The 26247-nt window shown below is 37.0% G+C and overlaps 1 protein-coding gene across 12 annotated transcripts in view; it reads right to left on the reverse strand.

Annotated features, from left to right (window-relative positions):
* ANKRD13C (ankyrin repeat domain 13C) overlaps nt 1-26247 on the reverse strand; it is a 95724-nt gene that overhangs the window by 26312 nt on the left and 43165 nt on the right. For 8 of the 12 annotated variants that reach the window (XM_047431282.1, XM_047431278.1, XM_047431276.1 and 5 more), the window contains 4 exons: nt 20914-20980; nt 15454-15598; nt 10820-10951; nt 7078-7239 (listed from right to left, as the gene is read on the reverse strand). In XM_047431282.1, coding sequence (XP_047287238.1) covers nt 7078-7239; nt 10820-10951; nt 15454-15598; nt 20914-20980 — 506 coding nt within the window. Of the gene's footprint in view, nt 1-7077; nt 7240-8193; nt 8311-10819; nt 10952-15453; nt 15599-18397; nt 20648-20913; nt 20981-26247 lie in introns of those variants that run through there. The other 4 variants (XR_007064007.1, XM_047431283.1, XM_047431284.1 and 1 more) reach the window with 4 other exon arrangements.

A 26247-nucleotide genomic window follows, 5' to 3' on the forward strand; every position in this document is an offset into this window, starting at 1 on the left:
GCCTCCTGAGTAGCTGGGATTACAGGCACGCACTACCATGCCCACGAATTTTATTTGTATATTTAGTTGATATGGGGTTTCACCACGTTGGCCAGGCTGGTCTCGAATTCCTGACCTCAAGTGATCCGGTCGCCTCAGCCTCACAAAGTGCTGGGATTACAGGCGTAAGCCACTGCACCCAGCTATAATGACTTTTAAAACTTTAAATTTTCAAATCTAGTTCACCATTAAAATGGAAATGTCTCTTGAATTTATTTGATAGGTCTCTCCTCTTTCACCCCCTGTTGTTTAACCTCACATTAAATAATAGAGTTAAACACTTTTTTTTTTTTTTTTTTGAGACAGAGTCTCGCTCTGTCACCCAGGCTGCAGTAGGGTGGAGTGATCTCAGCTCACTGCAACCTCTGCCTCCCAGGCTCAAGCAATTCTGCCTCAGCCTCCAGAGTAGCTGGAATTACAGCGTGCCACCACACCTAGCTAATTTTTATATTTTCAGTAGAGACAGGGTTTCAGCATGTTGGTTAAGCTGGTCTCGAACTCCTGACCTCAAGTGATCTGCCTGCCACCACCGTGCCGGCCAAGTTAAACTTATATATACCTTTCTTAAAAAGCTTATTGTGCAGGCTTAAAAGAACTGTACTTCTAAAATTATAAACAAAATACATACAAACATTTATTTTCTTCTTTAATGACCACTATTATATATATATAAACTGCTAACAGTTCCATGCTGCTTTCCAGGTGTTAAATTCTGTGTCTGTGTCTAAGAGAAAAAACAACACACAGCTACCAGTATCTTTCTATAATTACACCTATCAATTCTATTTTGTTGTTCTTGCATCCTATACCTTACCTAATTAAACCAAATCAAATTATATGTATTGATGAATATCTGATAGAATTACTATTAATATTTTCTTTAAATTTCTTCTAAAAAGATTTATAATTGAACTCTGAGAATATTCTCAAATGCAATTCTTCGATTCCTCCTTATCAAAAGTCCAAATAACATATAAAAAGGCACATTTTCTTCATTCTAAAAAAATTTAAAATATAATCTTAAAAGGATTACTATGCTGACAAATAACAACAAAATCTTGGTTCCTAGTAATTATTAAATGACTTAAGTCAGGTTGAAAAATAAGACTAATTTTTTTTTAAAAAATTAATGTTAGTATAAAAAAGTCCCTTCCAAGATCAAGAAAAAGCCATGTGCACCTGCTCATACCATTTTTATTCACTATTATACTGGTGTTACTTCCCAGTACAGTGAGGTAAGAAAAACAAATAAAAGAAATAAGAACAGGCAAGAGAAAAGTAAAACTATCTTTATTATCTGATGACATAAGCATTTGTAGAAAATCCTAAGTAATATACAAAAGACTACAGAATAGGCCAGGCACGGTGGCTCATGCCTATAATCCCAGCACTTTAGGAGGTCGAGGCAGGCAGATGACCTGAGGTCAGGAGTTCTAGACCAGCCTGGCCAACATGGCGAAACCCTGTCTCCACTAAAAATACAAAAACTAGCCGGGCGTGGTGGTGGGTACCTGTAATCTCAGCTACTCCGGAGGCTGAGGCGGGAGAATTGCTTGAACATGGCAGGCAGAGTTGCAGTGAGCTGAGATCGTGCCACTGCACTCCAGCCTGGGGGATAGAACGAGACTCTGTCTCCAAGAAAACAAAAAATAAAAATAAAATAAAGACTATAGAATATATAAACATAGAAATATAAAAATTACATTTATTTCTATGTATAAAAACAAACTGGAAATGAAATTTAAAGATAATCTTTTATGATAGTCTCAAAAATATTAAAAATTTACACGATAAATTTAATAAAATATATGTAAGATTTATACCCTGAACACTTCTGAGAGAAATTATAGAGAATCTAAATAAATGAAGAGATGCACCATGTTCATCAAACAGAAGATTCAATATTGTTAAGATATCAAGTCTCACCGAATTGATCTATAGATTCAACACCATCCCTATACAAATCTCAGCAGGCAATACAATGGAGGAGGAACAGACTTCTCAAAAAATGATACTGGAGCAACTGGGCATCCAAGGCAAAAAAAAAATAAATAAACCTTTGACCTAAACCTCATGCTTTCCACAAAATTAACTCAAAATGGTCATTTCCTTAAATGTAAAATATAAAGATATAAAACTTTTAGAAAAAAACACAGGAGAAAATTCTAGGAACCTGGAGCTAGGCAAAAAGTTCTCAGATTTGGCATGTGACATAAGATAAAAAATGATAAATTCGATGTCATCAAAATGATAAACTTTTTTTCAATGAAAGCCCACTTTGAGAAGATGAAAAGACAAGCTGTGGAGTGAGAGGAAATATTTGCAAAACACCTATCTGATGAAGAATTAACATCTAGAAAATATAAAGAACTTTGGGCCAGGCATAATGGCTCATGCCTATAATCCCAGCACTTTGGGAAGCTGAGGTAGGAGGATCCCTTGAGCCCAGGAGTTTGAGACCAGTCTGGGCAACATGGTGAGACCTTGTCTCTACAAAAAAATAAAAAATAAAAATAAAAAGTTAACTGGGCATGGTGATGCATGCGTGTAATCTCAGCTACTTAGGAGACTGAGTGGGAGGATTATTTGAGTTGAGGCGGTCAAGGCTGCAGTGAACCAAGATCGTGCCACTGCACTCCTGGTCTGACCAAAACAGTGAGACCATGTCTCAGAAACAACAACTTTGAAAACTCAACAGTAATGAAAAAAAGAAAATCCAATTAGGAAAAGAGCAAAAGGCATGAAGAGACATGCTACAGAAGAGGATATACAGATAGCAAATAAGCCATGAAGAGATGACCATTCAATATCATTAGCCATTAGGAAAATGCAATTAAATCAAAATGGGATAGCATTGAACACTACAGAATGAGTAACATAGAAAATAATGACAATACCAAAAGCTGGCAAGGATGTAGAAAAACTGGATCATTCATACACTGCTGATGGGAATGTAAAATGAAAAACACTTTGGCAGTCTCTTACAAAACTAAACATTCAGCTAACTACCATATGACATAGAAACTGCACTCTTGGGCATTTATCCCAGAGAAATGAAGACTTATATTACATTCATACAAAAACTTATATGTGAATGTTTTTTGCAGCTTAATTCATTATGGCCCAAAACAACCCAGATGTTCTTCAACATGTGAATGGTTAAACAAACTGTGGTACACTAATACCATGAAATACTACTCAACAAAAAAAGAACAAACTATTGATACATACAACTTAGATAAATCACCAGGGAATTATGCTAAGTGAAAAAAGAAAAGCCAATTTCAAAAGGCTAAGTACTATATGATTCCATTTATAGAACATCCTTGAAACAGCAACACTAAAGAAATGGAAGAACAGATTAGTGATTGCCAGGCATAAGGGACAGAGAGAGGCTAAGGGGGCAGCAAATGTGCCTATAAAAGAGGTACATGAGGGATCGTATGGTGGTAGACATCTTCTGTGTCTTGACTACAAATGCCAATATCCTCGCCATGATACTGTTCTATACCTTGGTAAGACGTTACCACTGGGGGAAACTGGGTGAGGCATACATGGAATCCCTGTATGATTTCATACAACTGTATGTGAATTTACAATATTTCAAAATAAAAAGCTTAATTTAAAAAAATCCAAACAGGCTTTTATGTTGAAATTGATTTATCTACAGATTCAACATTATCCCAATCAAAATCCCACCACGTTTTTTATCTTTTGTAGAAAGTGACAAATTGAATTTAAATATTCATCAACTATAAAGTTCAAAATCCTATGGTTTATATGGGAAGTGTTTCCTTTAATTTCTGATTAGAAGTTGAAAGCTTAATTATTTAATTTAAGTAATATTAGTTTGTTCCATTATGTAGCTATCTGGCATTAAACTATGTTTTAATTTCAACTTGCAAAGTACGGCTGCTTAAAATGCTACTTAAAGACCTCTTTAACTATTCAAATACATCCGGTTACAACCTCTGCCCTTAAGAAAATCAAGTTGTCTATCGTAAGTTTAAATGTACATAAATCAGACCAGAAGAGGCAACTGGCAAACAGTCCATGAAACAGCATTCTATAAAGTCTTATTTCCATATACTTATCCCAAATTAGTTTGTTGCCCAAATTATTATTTTTTTTTTTTGAGACAGTCTTGCTCTGTCACCCAGGCTGGAGTGCAGTGGCACGATCTCCGCTCACTGCAAGCTCTGCCTCCCGGGGGTTCACGCCATTTTTCTGCCTCAGCCTCCTGAGTAGCTGGGACTACAGGCGCCCGCCACCACGCCCGGCTAATTTTTTTTTTTTTTTTGTATTTTTAGTAGAGACGGGGTTTCACCATGTTAGCCAGGATGGTCTCAATCTCCTGACCTCGTGATCCACCCACCTCGGCTTCCCAAAGTGCTGGAATTATAGGCCTGAGCCACCGCGCCCAGCCTGTGTTGCCCAAATTTTTAAAAAAGTAGCATTAACCACCAACACAACAAAATCACTTTTTTCAAAATAACTCTAATAAAATTTAAATCACAATATAAGTCCAAAGAGATGGCCTTTTGTCTGGCCAACAATGGGAGAAGACAGCAGCCCTGTCAAAGACTGAGCTCAGCATTCCCGCTATTAATTCATCTCCATTTCTATTTCCTGAGTGCATTTTGTCAAGTATTTCCTACTGACTGAGAGATCAGTAAATACTAGCAGGCTCCTGGAAAAATGAAGTCTGGTGAAGCTTTATCCCAAAGTCAGAAGAAAAATTAGGAGCACAAATGAGATGTGGCAGGAAGGGGATAGGATCACACTAAAGTGGCATGATCACAATTTTAAACATTTTACATAATGTACTCAACTAAACTATGGCTGATTCACTCAATATATGATCTTTCTAAATATTAAAATGTTTTACTGACAAACATAGTATTACCATGAATTAGTTGAAACCTGGCATACTATTCTGGAAACTTTGACCATCACTAAAACATAGAATCCAGGACAATACTATAGGGAAAGGACTAAACATTCCAGCAATTCAAGCCTCTTTGTAGTATGTAGTAGCCTTTTAACCTTTTTATAACTGTGACTCACAATTTATATTACAATCCGGCACTCACACATATGCATGTTTATACAACACACACAATCTTGAAACTATTGTTTCATGAAGTAGTAATGACTCTCAGTATGTGTAATGTGCTCTGATTTTTCTCCTTTTTTTTTTTTTTGTGACAGGATCTCACTGTGTCACCCAGGCTGGAATGCAGTGGCAGTGGCATGATTATAGCTCATTGTAGCCTCAGTCTCCCGGGCTCAAGTGATCATCCTGCCTCAGCCTCCCAAGTAGTTGGAACTATAGGCTCATGCCACTGCGCACAGCTGATTTTTAATTTTTTAATTTTTTATTTTTTTAGTAGAGGCAGGGTCTTGCTCTGTTGCCCAGGCTGGTTTCCACCTCCTGGACTCAAGCAATCCTCCCACCTTGGCCTCCCAAAGTGCTGGGATTCCAGGTGCGAGCCACTGTGCCTGGCCTACCATTTTTATTTAGATACAAATTTTTTTAAGTATTGCCAACAACTGAGGGGAGAAAAGGAAAAAAAAGTAGTCATGGCCCACTAAATTAATTTCTTATAATCTACTAAAGGATCCCTATATTGCAGTTTGAAAAACAGTGCTATACAAATGGCAGTAAAACATTAACATCTGGGAAATTTTTTTTTTTTTGAGACGGAGTTTCGCTCTTGTTGCCCAGGATGTAGCACAATGGCGCAATCTCAGCTCCACAACCTCCACCTCCCAGTCTCAAGCGATTCTCCTGCCTCAGCCTTCCGAGTAGCTGGGATTACAGGCATGTGTCACCATGCCCAGCTAATTTTGTAGAGGCGGGATTTCACCATGTTGGCCAAGCTGGTCTTGAACTCCTGACCTCAGGTGATCCGCCCACCTTGGCCTCCCAAAGTGCTGGGATTACAGGTGTAAGCCACCACGCCTGGGCCCATCTGGGAAATCTTGATGAAGGTGTCCAAGAATTCTTTGTATGACTCTAGTATTTTTTTGGAAATATAAAATTATACAAATAAAAAATAAATTTAAGAATGCATCTAAATTCACTTCACAGAGGAATAAGATTTGAGGAGCAGTTACCATGTCTCATACATCTTTTATTTCCTAATTTCTCCTCCCCTTTCCTTACTGTCACACAATTCTTTGCATATAGCATGCTTTCAGTAAACATATGCTAAACAAGAAACATATGGGAAGGTGTAAGTCAGAGATGACACCATGAAGTAGATGGATCTTTAGCTGGGCCTTCAAAGCAGCGGATTTTGATTAGCAAAGCAGAAAGAATTAAGCACCTGTAATCCCAGCTACTCGGGAGTCTGAGGCAGAAGAATCGCTTGAACCTGGGAGGCGGAAGTTGCAGTGAACCAAGATCTTGCCACTGCACTCCAGCCTGGGCGACAGAGGGAGACTCCAACTCTAAATAAATAAATAAATAAATAACACTAGGGGCCAGGCACAGTGGCTCACATCTGTAATTCTAGCACTTTGGGAGGCTGAGGCAGGCAGATCACTTGAGGTCAGGAGTTTGAGACCAGCCTGGCCAACATGATAAAACCCTGTCTCTACTAAAAATACAAAAATTAGCCAGGCCTGGTAGCAGGGCCTGTAATCCCAGCTACCTGGCGGGGATGAGGCAGGAGAATCACTTGAACCCAGGAGGCAGAGGTTGCAGTGAGCCGAGATTGAGCCACTGCACTCCAGCCTGGGCAACACAGCAAGAATCCATCTCAAAATATAATAATAACATTAGGTTTCACGCTTTTAATCTATTTATTAATGAAGACTCAAAGATAAAGTACAGATTCACAAAAAAATCCCAAAAGACATTTTTTTGTCTTCATAATAATGACATCAACGAAATGAAGATTCACAGAAAAAGGTAACACACAGTAAATAAAAGCTGTGAGTACATTTATATACTTACTGAATGCCACCAAGAATGAAATCTATCCCCTCTCTTCTTAGAAAACTACAAATTAGAAGAATTAAAAATTATACCTCAAAATTCTGTTCCATTATGTTTCCACCTTTACTCAAACTCTCCATGATGGCCTTATTTCGAAGAATATCCTCTTCACTGAGATGTTCTCTTCTTTTCCTTGATTCTAAAACAAGTCCATTCACCAGGTAAAAGTCTGCCAAAAAGTTTCCTACTCTTTCCTAAAACAAAACCAAATATTTAAAAGTAAAATTTTTAGGTTAAAAAAAGTGTCAAGGTAATATATTTTTCCATAAATATGTAACATGTAGGTGAAAATAAATATTCCTTTGGTACTTGAAATTATCAAACTATCTTACATTTTCTAGGTTATACAACATATACATCTAAGTTATTCAATAAGTTGAAAAATACACAAAAGCATACATTTCAAATCAGTAAAGAGAAATTTAAAATACATAAAAATGTATGGTAGTTAATTTGCAAATGATTTTAAATAAAATTGCCACATAGCATTTCTTCAGATCCTACTCCCAAGTAGCACAAAGCTATCTCAAAACTATTAAGCTGGCAGTCAAATATCACGAGTAACAAGGAGGGGTCAGGGATAACACTGTTCCCATTTTATAGATAGAAAAAAAGTGGAATAAAAAGAAATAAATAGTCCATGTCACACAAGAATCTCTAGTACAACCAGAATTAATGACCTGTTCACATTCTCTATTCTCTAACAGGCACCAAACTTCAAGTTACAGCTGCCTGTTTTCAACAAAGAAAAGAGGAAAAGAGTACCCTTGCTCACCAATACAATTAAAGTGTTTTAGGGAAACTCAAGTGGTGTAAAGGACATCAAAAAAAGTCATTACTTTCTTTCAATAAAGTCCTCTTAAACCTTCAACATTAACTTTTACCTTTTTCAGACCCACAGGTATTCAGAGTTTGAAATACCTTACTTAAAAAAAAAACAAAAAAAAGATAAATAACTTACTGAAAACAAGCTTCCCATTTCTATCTGCATGCAAATCACATGTCTCCACCCTGCTGCTGTTTACTGACATTTCAAAACTACATGTTCAGAGTTGTGTTCCAGTCCACCTTGCAAAAAAAGCAAAGCATTCTGCACCTGTTTCTACCTACAAAATGGGAACCATAAGTATTACTGACTCCCTCCTTACCTGTCAAAGATTTAAGAAGATCACCTAGATGCTTCAAGAGCTTTGAGCTGCTTAGCAGTAGTACTAGATGATTAGCAGTTTCAATTTTTATCTTCTCTTGAAGTGATCCATCTAATGCTGCCCAGAAGAACAAAGTACAAACAAATAAGACTTTAAAGCCAACAAATGGACTGCAATGTAGGACCTCACAACTGAGAATGCTATAATGCCATTAGGCTTAGAGAGGAAAATCAGTGAGCTTAGATTTCCTAACAGAATTTATCTGTGGCTGGGAAATAACCAGGTGGTAATTATCAGTTTTTGAAACCTTATAATGAAAAACCACTTAGTAAATGTAAATTATCATATCAACAAAATGTTAAGTGTGTATTCCCCATTACCCAGCCACTTAATTTCTTGCTACTTATAACAGGCAAAGGCATGTAAAAGGATGATAAACACATCATTTATAATGGCAGAAAACTGGACACAAATGTGACTATTCATTTAAATGTCCAAAAACAAGACTGAATATGTTAAGTTACAGTATATCCATCATATAGAATACTATGCAATTGCTAAAAAGAGTGAACTAGCACTACATGTACTGGTAAGAGAAGATTTCTACGACATACTAAAGAATGAGGAAAAAAAGCCAGCTGCAAAACAGTAGATACGATATGACACGACACTTTATGAAAAAGTAAGCATCAACAACAAAAGGCTACCTATTATTATGAGCTCATATTTACATATGGAGAGCATAAAAAAGGTCTGGAGGATATAAAAACTGGTGACATTCTGCAAGGGGATGTGGGACTGTGGGCAGTGGCCAAGGAGGGCTTTTTAGCTTTATGTATAAAGTTAAATGATAATTTTATGTGTCAGCGTGGCTACGCTATGATGCCAGGTGTTTGGTCAAACGCCAGTCTAGATGTTGCTGTGAAGGTATTTTTTAGATGTGATTAACAATCAACGGACTTTAAGTAGAGCTAATTACCCTACATAATGTGAGTGGGCCTAATCTAATCAGTTTGAAGGCCTTAAGAGCAAAAACTGAGGTTTCCAGGAAAAAAAAAAGCAATTCTGCCTCAAAACTGCAACACAGAAACCCTGCTTGAGTTTCCAGCCTGCAGATTTCTTTTTCTCTCTCTTTTTTTTTTTTGGACAGGAGTTCACTCTGTCACCTGGGCTAGAGTGCAGTGGTGTGATCACTCACTGTGGCCTCAACCTTCTGGGCTCAAGTAATCGTCTCACCTCATCCTTCCAAGCACCTGCGACTATAGGCTTGTGCCACCTCAGCCATCTAATTTTTAAATTTTTTGTAGAGTCAGGGTCTTGCTATGTTGCCCAGGAGGCCAAGCCTGAACATTTCTAACTCAAGAGCACAATATCCACTCTTTACTAAATTTCCAGCCTGCTAGATTGCTCTACATTTCAGATTTGCCAACTCCTACAATTTCATGAACCACTCCTCAAAATAAATCAATTTCTTCCTTCTCCTCTCTCCCCCTTACTCTTTTTTTCTTCCTCTCTCCACTCCCCTTCTATCTACTGGTTTTGTTTCTCAGAGAACCCTAATAATGCTATTTTTCTTATTTCTCCATTGAGAATATATTCATTTCATTGTGTATAATAAAAATAAATATAATTTTTAATAGAAGTCAATCTTGACCCTGACTTGATGTGGTCACTTACTGTTAAATTTAAAATTTTATAAACATGCTTCTTCATACAGCTCATTCAATTTATTTTTATTTTTATTTTTATTTATTTATTTTTTTTGAGACGGAGTCTCACTCTGTCTCAGGCTGGAGTGCAGTGGTGCCATCTCGGCTCACTGTAACCTCCACCTCCCGGGTTCAAGCGATTCTCCTGCCTCAGCCTTCCGAGTAGCTGGGATTACAGGTATGCACCACCACGCCCGGGTAATTTTTGTATTTTTAGTAGAGACAGGTTTTCACCGTGTTGGCCAGGCTGGTCTCGAACTCCTGACCTCGTGATCCGCCGGCCTCGGCCTCCCAAAGTGCTGGGATTACATGCATAAGCCACCACGCCTAGCCTCAAAATTTTCCGAATATATATTTGAATAGTCTTATATAACCTCTTGCTGACAGATACAATGGGAATTATGGAAATAATTTACACTAATGGGGAAACTTCCCCCGAGATTTGATTTAACAATTCTACAGTGTTGCAGAAATGTAAGGTTATTTAATCTTACTCATATGTATAGAATACAAGAAAAAAATATTAAGTAAATGAGAAGTCTAAAGTAGGGAGACAAACAGGTTCAGGGAAATAGAGTCAAGTTTATCCCTTTTTGTAGTCTTCTTATCGAATAAAGCACTAGAAATATAATGGAATCATGTGAAAACATTGTTCCCTGTATAATAACAAGACAGCTAGCAATAAGAGTCCTTCCTGACACAGAATTCAAATGAGCTCAGCTTTCTTTCCTGAATTCTCCAAGGACACATTCTGACTCTAACCATCCATTATAATTCCTTATCTGGATTCAAGGAAGAGAGAAAAAAACTACTTGGAGACAATTCTGTAAGCTACTTCTTGCATTTCCATCACGTTATTTTGGAAATATTAAATACCGAACAATGCTTAAAGTTTAAAAATCTAGATTTGCACATACTGTTTTATCTTCCCGAAAAAGCCATCCTGTCTGGGCACGCGTGAAAGAAATTGATTTTGTTGATAAAGTTGCAGAGTAAATATCACTGCTCATTAAAATATCCACCTCTTCTTCTGTTTCCATCTCTGATTCCTGGGATGTGAGCAAAAGTTAAATATAAAAATCTAGGTTTTTCAAAAGTTCTTAGTACTACATATGAAAATATCAACAATTATAATGGTACCAATTTTTAAAGACAAAAAGGATAGTTTCTAAATAATGTGAAGTGTTACTTACTCTAAAAAGAATTAGATGTTTAAATTGTACATATTAATATCTTCTCTAAGTTAGCATTATGACTAATTATGAATCTATAAAAGCAGGACACATGAAATACGGTACTATTATCCTGTTATAGATATGTAATGGAAGCAGTACTAGATTACCCATTATAAAACTGTATAGTCCATAGAGCAATTTTTAAAAACAACTTTAAGAATTAACTTGACAGATCTGAGAAAAAAACCCAGATAAAGGATATTTTTCTTTCAATACAGATTAATCTTACTTTAGTTCTTCTTAATGCAAAGATCCACCACTGTCATTTGAGCCTTTCTTTCCCAATAAATTGTAAGTGGAAGAAAGGAAGAACTGAAGGGAGGGATAGAAGAAGGGAAGCAGCAGAGAGGGAAGGAAGGAAAAGAAGCAAGAAAGGATCTTTTCTGTATTCCTTATAAAATGGAAAGGAATCCATAAATATCAACCGTAATTTCTAAACTTAATGAGTAGTCATGCTTCAGGTTTTATCCTGTACATATTCCCTAGTGCTGGTATATAATAATTGAGCAATAATTATTTTTTATATGAGAAAAAAGGAAAGTTTTGTGCTTGCTTCAGGGACAGAAGACTAAATGATCAAGTACAGAAGAGTAAGTGAGCAGGTATAAGATGAGATTCTATTCCATAATAGGCCAAGAAAGATACCCTAACTAATATTTAAGACGTTATAAGGAAGAAAAAAGGCAAAACCTAGGGAGTTGTCTGGAGAATAATAACAGTCCCTAGGGTTTACAATAGTTAGAGCCTTCATTCTCCAAACCTCCTTATTTCTAGGTTCCCAAGAGGCCCATTTTCTATTCTTCACCATCTAACTTTAACCTACATAGAGTCCCTTTCTGATTTTTTTTTTTTTTTTTTTTTTTTGAGACAGAGTCCCGCTTTGTCGCCCAGGCTGGAGTGCAGTGGCACAATCTCAGCTCACTGCAAGCTCCTCCTCCCGGGTTCACACCATTCTCCTGCCTCAGCCTCCTGAGTAGCTGGGACTACAGGCACCCGCCCCCATGCCCGGCTAATTTTTTTATTTTTAGTAGAGACGGGGTTTCACCATGTTAGCCAGGATGGTCTCGATCTCCTGACCTCGTGATCCGCCCGCCTCGGCCTCCCAAAGCGCTGGGATTACAGGCATGAGCCACCGTGCCCAGCCCATATAGTCCCTTCCTGAATTTCCAAAAACAATACCATTGGCGACCGGGCTAGGTGGCTCATGCCTGTAATCCCAGCACTTTGGGAGGCCAAGGCAGGTGGATCACGAGGTCAGAAGACAGAAACCATTCTGGCTAACATGGTGAAACCCCGTCTCTACTAAAAAAAAAAAATTAGCCGGGCATGGTGGCACGCGCCTGTAGTCCCAGCTACTCGGGAGGCTAAGGCAGGAGAATCACTTGAACCCGGGAGGTGGAGGTTGCGGTGAGCTGAGATCAATCACGCCACTGCACTCCAGCCTGGAGACAGAGAGAGACTCCATCTCAAAAAAAAAAAAAAACAAAGAACAAACAAACAAAAAAATAGCAATGGCTTGGGCCTGGGACAGTACCATTTCCTCTACCCCTACAAGTAAAGAATGCAAAATCTTGGTGTTACTGCTAAAGCCATAATAGGTGAAAATGTATTCCTGGTAACCCAAATTAATTCTGAACACAATATTCTTTAAAAAAAAGTTAGGTTGCAGTAGTTAAACAGAACTGTTAAACACTATACTTCAAATATATTATGAATCAAGTAGAATTTTATATATTAGCTTGGAAACTGAACACTGTATAACCCATTGTCTATGAGCAAATTTGCCTTACATTTCAAACATCCTATTTTCAATAAACTTTTGGAACAGAATTCTTATATAAATCAGAGACTATCTCTTAACCACATCACTGAAAAAGATCTGCTGTTTTAATTAATTACATTGCTTCAACATTTAATGAAGTTATTACTTATACATACATACATATTAGGATAAACAACAAGTATTCTCTGCCCTAAGGAATACTGCTCAAAATTTATCTTTCCTGTATTGTAGGCATTATAAAATACATAATACATATATGTATGTATACATACATACCTTAATACTAGTACATACATACCTTAATACCTTAAAACTGGTACCCTTAATACCAGTTCTTTGGTAATACTATGACATCCACAAATACTTATGGACTACTAGCCTTAACTTCTAGCTTCTCTTTCAAGACCCTATTTCCAATTCACTTATTGCCTAGTTGGCTATCCTGTTGTCATTTCATAAGTAAGAGGTCAAATTATTTAATAAATATCTGAGAGGCTCACATATGAGTAAGCAAACTATAATCAGCTGCCTGTTTTTATGAATAAAATGATAATGGAATATACTCATTTATTTACATATTGTCTGTGGCTGCTTTTAACAACAGCAGAGTTGAGTAGTTGTGACAGAGGCCATATGGCCCACAAATATATTTTAATATCTAAAAATATTTATTATCTCTTCCTTCACAGAAAGAGTTTACCAACCTATAGCGTAGAATGTACTGATGCTGTATTAGATAACAGGGAATACAACAAAAAGAACCCCACGCCCTTGAGGAGCTTAGACCAATAGAAGGGAAAAAAGCCATGTCAGTAAATGTAACATTAGAAGCTTTATGGTTCCAGATTTAATAGGAACATAAGGACAACAAAAGTCATTTGGTGGGAGAGAAAGTAACACCAAGTGCATGCCCTACAGGTGTGAGGGTGCAAAAAGAAAAGCATTCCAGGAAGTGGAAAGAACATGAACAAAGGAATAAAGGCCCAAATAGCCTGGCACATCTGACAAACTGCCAAGAGTGCAGTATGAGGGTATCTAAAATAGTAAGGTAAGAAAAAGGCTAGAAAGGTGAGCAAAACTCAGGTGACAAAAGGAACCATGCCGTGCTAAGGAGATTAGATTTCACTCTTTAGGTAATGGGGAACTTTTTAAGTATCTCTAAGTAACTAAGGTTTCATAAATGTGTTTCTAAAGTTTAATGTATCTCCAACATGTGGGATAATTTAGAAGCAGATGAGAAGGGAGCCAGGAAGATCATTTATAAGACTTTCCAATGGTCCAGTTGAGAAATAATGAATGTTTAAATTACAGTAGTGACAGTGTGAATAAAAGAGGAATAATAATGAGACATTAAGGAGAAAGAAATGACCAGATATGTGCTCTGATGAGAAAACACAGAGTACAAGAAAAGATATCAAAAATAACTCCTAGGTTTCTAACTGAATAGAGAATGACATCATTCTTCAAAAGAGGAAAAACAGGAAAAAGAGCAGGTTTGGAGGAAAAGTAGCAAGGTTAGTTTTAAATAAGGTGAATTTTGAGGTACCTGGGAGACACACATGATATCCATTAGGCATTTAAACAGATAAGCCTCTACTCAGAACTGTATGGACACAAACATATATTTGTAAATCATCAACCTATAGGACTGTGGGAATGGAAGGGATTATTCTGGCAGTTTGTAAAAATGAGAACCACATCAAGGGCATATCAATGGTTTTTTAACACAAAGATATGGCATGAGAGAAGGAAAATCATGTCGTACTTGAAGAGGGAAAGGACAGAGAAAGGAAAGGTAGCCAAAGAGTTAGGAAAAGTAAGACTGCAGACAGAGCCAAAAGAAGTATTCATATTAAGGAGATAAAATAAAGATGGTCAACAACATTAAAAGAAGGTAAGATAAAAAGATAATACATGGTAAAGGTCCAGCACAGGTTCAACAAATGAAAACTATAAATGAGAATGAAGAGAAGTTGGAGTTCATTGATCTAGGAGATAATCAGTTGAATTCTCAGCAGGCTCAATGGACCGGTCAAGATGGAGACCAGAGGATAGAAATATAAAAAATGAAAATAGGCCAGGCGCAGTGGCTCACGCCTGTAATCCCAGCTCTTTGGGAGGCCGAGGTGGGTGCATCATTTGAGGTCAGGAGTTTGAGACCAACCTAGCCAACATGGTGAAACCAAGCCTCTACTAAAAATACAAAAATTAGCCGGGCTTGGTGGCGGGCGCCTGTAGTCTCAGCTACCCTGAAGGCTGAGGCTGAAGAATTGCTTGAACCTGGGAGGCGGAGGTTGCAGTGAGCCTAGATCACGCCACTGCATTTCAGCCTGGGTGACAGAGCGAGACTCCAGTCTCAAAAAAAAGAAAAAGAAAAAAGAAAAGAAAGCTAGTGGTCAGGAAACTATAGCTTTAGGAACAAACCATCTCAATTATACCTTAAGCTTTTAAGCAAATTATACTGAGGTTTTGCTAAAAACCTATACTTTTTTTTTAATGATTTAAAGGAATATTGATAAGACAACATGCTCACCTCATGATGTATTCGCTGATAAACTTTTTGTTCATTGTCTAATACTACAAAAGATTCAGAGGGCGCCGCATCCCCATTGAAAATGAAGCTTAGATCCCCTCGTTGGCACTTCATGTCAGTAAAGTCTATGAGAGTTGTGTCAAGCCTGTGAAACATGGGTAGATGATAAACTCTGACAAATATAATTTTGATAAAACTTCACTAATAATTAAATAAGCTGTTCCTTTTAAACTCAAACCAAGATGCTAATACCATATTGCAAAGTCAAATTTATAGATAAAAACAAATTTATAGATAAAAACTAAATTTAAAATATTCTATTAAAAAACAAAACTACTTAAAGATATAATCCATTTTAGCTATATTTCACTTTTCTGAATATACATATATATTTTCTGAATATATATACACACACATATATATATATATATACACATACACACACACATATATATATACACACACATATTTCATTGACCCAGAAAAAAAGATGTTTCCCCATATTTGGGGTATTTCCCTTTCTGCTCCCTTGTTTCCTACCATTTCCCTTACTGTAGCTACTCAATAAAAGTGAACGGGGAAGGAAGAAAAGGAACACAGACCTGTCTGACATTATTCGATCCCTTTAAGACCAGGTTGCTAGCTCAGCAGAGTATTTAAGACCAGACAGCAATGGATGGACCACATTCTTGGAATTGAGAACTCCTCTTCTGATATACACCCGTAACCTTATGCCTAACCATCTGATACCAAACCTTGCTTTATCCTTCAACTTGATAAACCATTTAAATTCTTGGCCTTTGTATTTGACTTCTCAGATTTGGACTAATACTCTCTTTCCCAACCAATATCTCCACACCCTGGAAACCTTACAGATCATTCTGTATCTAATACTCATGGATTCACACATTTGTGTGTTTACTGTTCTCTTTGGTAACCTGGACCTGTCATGGTCTAGCCTAATGCGCTGGTCTCAAACAGTATTCCACAAAGCACTACTTGCCGAAATTAGGAAAAATACTGAAAATAAAAAGTTTACAATACACTGACGTGCTTCAGTCTTGCACATGGCTTTATAAATCACCAGATCAGGATCACCCCAGCTAATGGCTGCTCAAAACACACAGTCCTAAAGCCAAGAAACTGGTTGGCCCTGCTGTCAAAGGATGCTGATCACATCCCCAGGAAGCTCCTTTAAGGCTCCGTGAAAAATCCACCCTGGCTACTGAATTTCTAATGCAACTGTAAGAATTCATTACTCTGTAGGTTTTTCAGTTCTCATCACAGACAAGGCAAAGTGAGTTGGTATTCTTGGTTTCCCTAGACAGGAAAAACAGAAATAAAACATGCCTCACATGCTGCATGAAAATAATAACTAGGGTTACATAGAATTTATCATCAAAATTAATAAATCTAAGAATGAAAGTGACACTACTGACAATTCTGCCAGGAAAACAGGGGTGAGCCAGAGCAAAGAGGGAAGTATGGTTGCCTTATGTATCAAGAAGCCCTAAAAAAGTAACTCATCAACTCACACAGGGGCGGCGGGGGGGCGGGGGGCTGCCTGTTGCTTTATAGCTGAATTCTAGCTTTTAGTCCACTCCCAGAAGCTAGAATTCAGCTTTACTATTAAATAACACCTATCATTGCTTGAGCATGTGTCCTAAAAGAAAATAGTATTGGCCGGGCGCGGTGGCTCACGCCTGTAATCCCAGCACTTTGGGAGGCCAAGGCGGGCGGATCACGAGGTCAGGAGATCGAGACCATCCCGGCTAAAACGGTGAAACCCCGTCTCTACTAAAAATACAAAAAATTAGCCGGGCGTAGTGGCGGGCGCCTGTAGTCCCAGCTACTTGGGAGGCTGAGGCGGGAGAATGGCGTGAACCCGGGAGGCGGAGCTTGCAGTGAGCCGAGATCCCGCCACTGCACTCCAGCCTGGGCGACAGAGCGAGACTCCGTCTCAAAAAAAAAAAAAAAAAAAAAAAAAAAAAAGAAAATAGTATTAAAAGGGACTCTTCCCCTATCTCTATAAGATGTGGGCTCCTGATAATACCAAAAAGGAACAGATCATTTTATATGTAAGTGCACTATTTGGGCTCCAAGCTTCAGCTATCAGGGAATGTTATGCTCTACATAAAAGAAGAAATGGGCTAAAACAGTCTTCTGCCTCCATTCCCTGCTTGCCCATCATAGGTGAAAGTGGTAGTGGGTTGCCAGGAGTGGAGATGAAAAGGTGAGTAAAGAGATGCACAGAAAGACAGATAAAGAAAGACAAAGACAGACTGACATGGTGACCTTTGAGATTTTAGATCTAGCGATATGTAAAATTAGTTATAGAAACTTCCCAGTTATATAAATTAATACAGCCTATTTTTATTTCATTCGTGTTTCTATAATTTTGCAATAAAAAGGGTAATACATTTTCTGTATATCCCTGACATATTAGATGACCTGGTAAGCTGCATCACATATGCCTCAGTAAATAATGTTAATTATCACGATAACATTTTAAAGTCCTCACTAGTCCTTGGCTTTAAGCCTATGAACCTAAATATTTTTAATTTTTCCCATGTAATTAGCCATGAAGAACAATAAGTTCTTTATACAAATGCAAAGATTTGAATAGAAAGTATTATTTTTAAGAAGAAAGCCTGAAAAAATGCCAAATAACACTGAAAAAAGGAACTAAAGGCTTCACTTCAGACAAGAAAATCCTGAAGTAAGACAAAAAGTGTACAAATATACTTTCAATCAGTGATTACAGATTACCTCTTAATTATTTGTATTTATGGTCAAAATCTTTGTTAGTACTCTCAAGAATAATGTTGCTCACACTTTCCTATTTCTACTAAAGTATTAGTTTCTCTTTGATACCAGAGAAGACATTTCAAATGATTACATGGCTGCCATGAAATAAAAGTCAACTTAAAGATTTCTCTTTGAATATATTTTAAAATTTAGCTTTATTAAAATGGTGTTAAAAAATTGTCTCATGACATTTAAAATAGCAAGTTTTTATTTAATGTTAACAGATTTTTTCCTTTAGATTCTCATCACCTAGGCAAAAAACCTTTTGTCATACATCCTAAAAGCTATCCTCTCCATTAATCTGGTAAGCCTTGTTTGATGAGAGCTTTAGAACCTATCACATTTGTCCTTCATCCTTAGTTACTAGTAAGCCCCATGTCTAGTATCTTGCTAAGTTACTAACTTCCCCTTAACCTACAACTTTTCTCACAATTTTTCTCCCCCAGGCTTTTGCCCTCATGTTCCTGTTTTAACTTTTGTGTGTGTGTGTGACAGGGACTCACTCTGTCACCCAGGTTGGAATACAGTGGCACGATCTCGGCTCACTGTAGCCTCAAGCTCCTGGGCTCAGGTGATCCTCCCACCTCAGCCTCCTGAGTAGCAGGGACTACAAGTGCGTGCCACCATGCCCAGCTAATTTTTTGTATTTTTCGTATAGACAAGATTTCATTATATTGCCTAGGTTGTGTTTTAACCTTTTTGGTTTTATTACCTATAGTTATTATATAATATGTACTAAAACATTTACTTTAAAAAGTCATATATAAATGTGAAACAATTTTTTTTCAAAGAGATTCCTTCTTGCCTAAACCTAGGACTCAGAATAAAAACTTTATTTTTTCTGAGACAAGGTCTTACTCTGTTGCCCAGGCTAAAGTGCAGTGTCGTGATTACAGCTCACTGCAGCCTCAACTTCCTGGGGTCAGGTGATTCTCCCACCTCAGCCTCCCAGGTAGCTGGAACTATAGGCACGTGTCACCATGCCCAGCTAATTTTTAATATTTTTTTGTAAAGATGGGGTTTTGCCATGTTGCCCAGGCTGGTCTCGAACTCCAGGACTCAAGTGATCTACCTGCCTCAGCCTCCCAAAGTGCTGGGATTACAGGCATGAGTCACCACACCCGGCCTAAAACTAACTTTTTAAACTATCACATGGAAGATAATAGTATCCTCCAAAATTGCCTACCATCTTTGGCAAGCACCTATATTAAAAATGTCTAAATTAATGAAACCATAATAATTGCTAACAAAAGGCTGCTGAATTAAATCCACATCAAAAATCCTTTTCTACTTAGTTTTTCTTCTATTTTTCTGTATTTTCCAAGTTTTCTGTAATGACAGTGCATTTAAGGTACATGAGCACTTTTATAATTAGAAACACCTGAAGAGGTTTTTTTAAAAAACACGCTGGGTGTGATGGCTCACACTGTAATCCCAGCACTTTGCGAGGCCAAGGTGGAAGAATCACTTGAGCCTGTATGTTCAAGACCAGCCTGGGCAATATAGTGAGACCCTATCTTTATTATCTAAAAAAAGAAAAAACAAAAACAACAACAACAACAAAAACAGAAATATCTACCTTAACCAAATTCTATTGCTTAAGGATAATTACCCTAGAATTTACTTCCAACTAAAAGTTATTGCTTCACTAATTCAAAATACTAAACAATAAATTTCTCAGAAATAGCTGATTTTTAAAAACTTCTGCTTTGTGTCATGGTGAGAAGAACAACAAACAAGAAGTCAGAAGTCCTGGTTCAGCCATTAATTTGTAAAATGCTCTTGTAAAAAAAATCACTTAACTTCTCTTTCTCATCTCTAAATTAAGACTTTATATGAGATAATCCTTCAAGTTATTTCTAGTTCTAGACCCTTAAACTTTCAAATTAATATTCTGGAGATATACAGACACACACATACACAAAATTATATATATACATGTATACTATTTATAAATATACCAATATATGCACATATATACATAAAAGTTGGCATACTAACTAGCATTATATATACTTTACAAATAGATAATTTATAAATATGGCTATATTATTATAAAGCAAAATAAAGAATCATGTAAGTTAAATAGATGTATTTTCTATCAGATTCAAACATTAATCTTAGTTATAAAAGGAACAGAATGAGGAAAATTAAAATTAGCCTCAAAATATTCACTGGATTGGATAGATCAATGAATGAACAGATGAACGGATACACGGATTAGTAAACAGGGGAAGGAAAGACATGAAAGAGATGGAGAAAAAGGCAAGAATTGGGTCTTCCTTATGTGTCCCTTATTCCTTAATAAATCCAGGATCAGGAAGGTAACCACTGTAAATCTTCTTAATATTACATCAAGATCCTCACTGTTTGCCTTCTGGATAGTCTGTAGTTAAATAAGAATAATATCTTTGCTTTAGTCAAGATTTTATGTCTTTTCCACTTTGAGTTTGTTCTCTAAGTAATAAAAAAATAAAAAAAGGTTCTATGTCTTTGGTTTTTTATCTATTATGTCTCGAATGAGATAAAATATTGTGACTCTGTTACAGCATTTTAACGTCATAAAACACATGTAAGTTATGATTACAGGGAAAAAAATCTTCCTCTAAATCTCAACTTTCTTTTACTGAGAAAAAAATCAAATCACCTTACCTGATATTGATACCTTGTTTGTATATTTTACATGCATCGGAAGGCAGAATTCGGGAAAGTAAAGGCACTGTATTTTTAAAAACAAAAGGTAAAAAATAACTACCTAAATTTTGAGATATTTACAAACTTTTAAATTAAAAGAGTAATGTGACATTCTGTTATCAAATTATAATAATTTCCTTTCAAATAGTATTTTTCCATTTAAAAATAAATAAAATTTAAAAGGCAATTTTGAGCAACTTCAAATATCTACTATTTACTTGTAATTTCTGTATAGTTTACTATACTCCCATCCCACCCACAAACAAGGGTAGCAGAGTCAATATGATGCCACTCAGGTACAGACTGCATATTATAGATGAGTAAACAATAACCCTATGGTAACTAAACCCTCCTGAATGGGTAACCAGATAGACCTGAACCTTATCTAATTTTGTAAATATAATTTGGAAAAATTGCAGTAAAGTAATGTGTATAATAGAAAGAGACATCTTTGAAGTGAGACAGTTAAATTTGAGTTTGAATCCCAAATATGTGCCTTGGTTATTTAGACTCAATGTACCTGAGTTTCAAAATCTGTAAAATGGGAATCATACTATTTATCTATAGATTTCTACATTCCTATGTTGCTATCTATAGCTCATATACATGCCACAAGCCATATTCTGATAGTTTTTTATTATTTATTATCTGCTATTTTGGGGAGATAGGAGTTATTCTACAGACAAATAAAGCTGCATAACAGGCTATAATAAACTACCACGTACAAAGAAATGAAAGAAATGTGAAGCTCAAAATTCTTGAAATTAAGACCATATCAGAGGTACATGTGTACATAAGTGTGTGTGTATCTGTCTGTGTGTAAGATACGGCAGATATATCTTACAAAATTTAGTGTTTTTAAAATGGGTGATAAATTAACCTGAGTTAGAAACAAAGACTCTAGAGAAAATTAAAGGCTAATTTCTTAGTTAACTTTTTCAAAAGCATCAACATTTTCTAATTAACATTAAAGATAAATACCTAATGCAGGCCCGGTATGGTAGCTCACACCTGTAATCCCAGCACTTTGAGAGGCCAAAGCGGATAAATCGCTTGAGCCCAGGAGTTCAAGACCGGCCTGGGCAACATGGCGAAACCCCATCTCTATCAAACATACAAAAATTAGCCAGTCTCATAAACCAGTCTCAAATAAATAAATAAACAAATAAAATTTTTAAAATAAAAAAAATTTTAAATGCTGTAAAAAAGTACCTAATGCTTCATGACTCCTTTAGATCCTTAGAAACCATTTAATGCAAAATGACTTCCAGCACTGAAAACTGTTTTCTGAATTTTAGTGCAAAAATAAGAAAAGTTTATTGTCCAGAGAGAATATTAACGAATTGTTGCCCTAGTGAAATAATGTAAGAAATCTTCTTCTGACAAAGCTTTTCCTTTCTCAGCTGGGCACGGTTTGGCTATAACTGCAGCCATATGGGAGGCCAAGGCAGGAGGACTGTTTGAGCCCAGGAGCTTGAGGCTAGCCTGAGCAACATAGCAAGACCCTGTCTCTACAAAAATAAAAATAGAAAAATTAGCCAGGTGTGGTGGCAGGTACCTGTAGTCCTAGCTACCTGGGAGACTGAAGCAGGAGGATCACCTGAGGCCAGGAGTCGAAGGCTGAAGTGGGCTATGATCATGCCACTGCACTCCAGCCCAGGTGACACAGCAAAACCCTATCTCTTTGAAAAAGAAAAAAAGAAAGAAAGAAAAAACTTTTTTGAAACAAAAATTGAGAAGAGCAATAATAGTGTAATTCTATAAATGATCAAAGTTCTTTCATGCTCATTAATTGAGATCCATCCTGAAGTAAGTATTTGGTGTATCATGAACCAAAGATGATTAAAAGTAGATAGCACTCCAACTTAAGTTAATTTAACTTCATTATATCTCATTACTTATTTATTTTTTTAAAGACGGGGGTCTCCCTATATTGGCCAGGTTGGTCTTGAACTCCTAGCCTCAAGAGATCCTCCCACCTCAGCCTCCCAAAGTGCTAGAATTACAGGCACAAGCCACCATACCCAGCCAACATTATATCTTTTGAAGTAATTATAACACCCTACAAAAACAGAATTTAATATCATACACTAATACTTTTATTAAAAATCAGGAAAGGAGGAAAATGGTAAGGCAGAGAGAAAACAAGTTGAGGATTGAGAGCAAAAGCTAAGAAAAAAAAAAGAAAAGGGCAAGGCGCGGTGGCTCAGAGGCCTGTAATCCCAGCACTTTGGGAGGCCGAGGCGGGCAGATCACGAGGTCAGGAGATGAAGACGGTCCTGGCTAACACGGTGAAACCCCGTCTTTACTAAAAATAGAAAAAATTAGCCAGGTGTGGTGGCGGGCGCCTGTAGTCCCAGCTACTCAGGAGGCTGAGGCAGGAGAATGGCGTGAACCCAGGAGGCGGAACTTGCAGTGAGCCGAGATTGCGCCACTGTGCTCCAGCCTGGGCGACAGAGCGAGACTCCGTCTCAAAAAAAAAAAAAAAAAAAATTAAAGAAGTTAAATTATTGAGCAAAACAAACAACCAAACAAATAAAAAAACATTTCTGATAGATTTTAATGCATTCCAAAACATAGCAATTTACATTTTCCCAAGTCTGAAATAACTCTTTTTCTCCTCCACGTAAGTTAAACAACCAACCTATTTCCTGTTACCTCAGCATAAGTTTAGCACAGTATTCCAACAGTAGCATAATTCACTAAACAGAAAATAAAAAGAGAGTTTTTAAATTTAAATTTTCATTTGGCTACCACTTACTCCCCAATTTTCTTTCTTTCCTTTTTTTTTTTTTTAGACAGAGTGTCGCTCTGTCACCCAGGCTGGAATGCAGTGCCGCAATCTCAGCTTACTACAAACTCCGCCTCCCAGGTTCAAGTGATTCTCCTCTCCGCCTCCCAGGTTCAAGTGATTCTCCAGCCTCAGCCTCCTGAGTAGCTGGGATTACAGGCGCCCCCCTACCATGTCCACCTAATTTTTGTATTTTTAGCAGAGATGGGTTTTCACCATGTTGGCCAGGTTGGTCTCAAACTCCTGACCTAAGGTGATCCACCCGCCTTGGCCTCCCAAAGTGCTGGGATTACGGCGTGAGCCACTGCACCCAGCCTACTCCCCAATTTTCAGAAGAGTTTTTAAGCTTAATGTTTTCTATCTATAATATACAAATAATAGGCCGGGCGCGGTGGCTCAAGCCTGTAATCCCAGCACTTTGGGAGGCCGAGGCGGGTGGATCACGAGGTGAGAAGATCAAGACCATCTTGGCTAACACGGTGAAATCCCGTCTGTACTAAAAAAAAGAAAATACAAAAAATTAGCCGGGCGTGGTGGCGGGCGCCTGTAGTCCCAGCTACTCGGAAGGCTGAGGCAGGAGAATGGCGTGAACCCAGGAGGTGGAGCTTGCAGTGAGCCGAGATCGCGCTAGCCTGGGCGACAGAGCCAGACTCCGTCGCAAAAAAAAAAAAAAAAAAATAATAATAATAATAATATACAAATAACAGTCTCAAATACAGGATGGATTGATTCTGTAGACAACAAATAAAAATAGAGAATTAGTTTTTTAGTTAAAACGTGCTATATGCATAATGCAAAATTTAAAGTAGTGATCATATTATAAATTATTTGATACTTTATAGTATACAAAGGGCTTTCTTCAAAAAAATGATTTTATTTCATATACACCAAAAGAAAGTTTGCAACAGGTGGGGTAGTTAGTATTATCCTCATTTTAAAAATGAAGAATAAAGCTCAGAAAACATATAAAATATGTGATTTGCAATGTCAAATACTTAGGGGTCGGTATTTCTGACTCCAATTCAAAGCTTTTCTATACCTAAAAATCCAGGCTGGAATATTTCAGTTACCTTCAAACTTGTTACTAAGTCTGTGGCTATTTTCTTCGAAGTCTGAATATAAGTAAGAGCATAAAAAAGAGTGTGCTCTACTATCTCAAAAGTAAACTCACCCTGATTTCAGTATTTCTTGGCTTCCCCTTATTTTTCGCTTGCTTTTTAAAAAATATTATGTGTTTTGACAAGGGAAAGAAATATGCCAAAACTCTAATTAAAGTTTGATCATAAAATCTAATAAAAGATCTAGGCTATCTATAAGCCAATGGGTTTCGTTTTAGAATTATACATGACATCTAATCATCACGTATTAATAGTTGTGATGTTAAATCACTATAATCCTTTATTAGCAATGAAACAGATGTGCTGACTTTTTGCATCAAAGTCAAATTCTCAAAGAAGAAATACTTTGGACAACTGTCTCAGTGGTTACTTGAGGAACTCAATTATGCAACATTTATAATGTATTGTTTATAACTATAGATATATACACAATTTTAGAAGTGATTGCATGTATTTATATTTTAGTATAATTAAAATATCACTTTTAAAATATTTTATAACATTTTGTTCAGCAATATACATTGATTATTTTAGAATTCAAACCACTAATGATTACTAAGAGAATCAGTTAAAAAGCCAAAATACTCAAGGGACAACCCAGTTTAGGATCACAAAGCAGGACTGGGGTCTCCCCACATGGGAAAAAAATGGGGTAAAAAAGACAGTATTCAGGTTTTAGGCCAATCTAACTTGGAGCTCCTTTACTACACAAGGCTACTATAAACCTGTTTTTCTATGTGTTCTAGGACACCAGGACTCCTGAATGATATATAAGGCATAAAAGCAAGATGGGACTATTAGAGTAACAAGACTGCATAATCATTAATAGAGACAAACTAGCCTGATGAGCTAGAGTTATAAAAATGTGAGAAAAAACTGATTAAATTTAGAATTTAAAATTCTCTATACAAGGATTAAACACACTAGAAAAACCTTAATCATCCATGCCATAAAGTATTATGTAGCTGTTAAAATTAGTGAAGTATTTCCACCTGAAATATGGTAAGATGCCTACTATGGGTTGAATAAAAATGATGGCTGGGTGTAGTAGCTCACGCCTGTAATCCCTACACTTTGGGAGGCCGAGGCGGGTGGATCATCAGAGGTCAGGAGTTCGAGACCAGCCTGGCCAACACAGTGAAAACTTGTCTCTACTAAAAACATAAGGCACATGCATGTAGTCCCAGCTACTCGGGAGGCTGAGGTGTTAGGATCACTTGAACCCAGGAGGTGGAGGTTGCAGTGAGCTGAGATCGCGTGACTGCATTCCAGCCTGGGTGATAGAGTGAGACTCCCTCTCAATAAATAAATAAATAAATGTCAACTTGCATAATGATATAACAGTATGATTCCATGGGAGAAAAAAAACCTAATTCTGAGGGG

Source organism: Homo sapiens, chromosome 1 (genome assembly GCF_000001405.40).
Source record: "Homo sapiens chromosome 1, GRCh38.p14 Primary Assembly".
NCBI classification, from domain to species: Eukaryota; Metazoa; Chordata; class Mammalia; order Primates; family Hominidae; genus Homo; species Homo sapiens.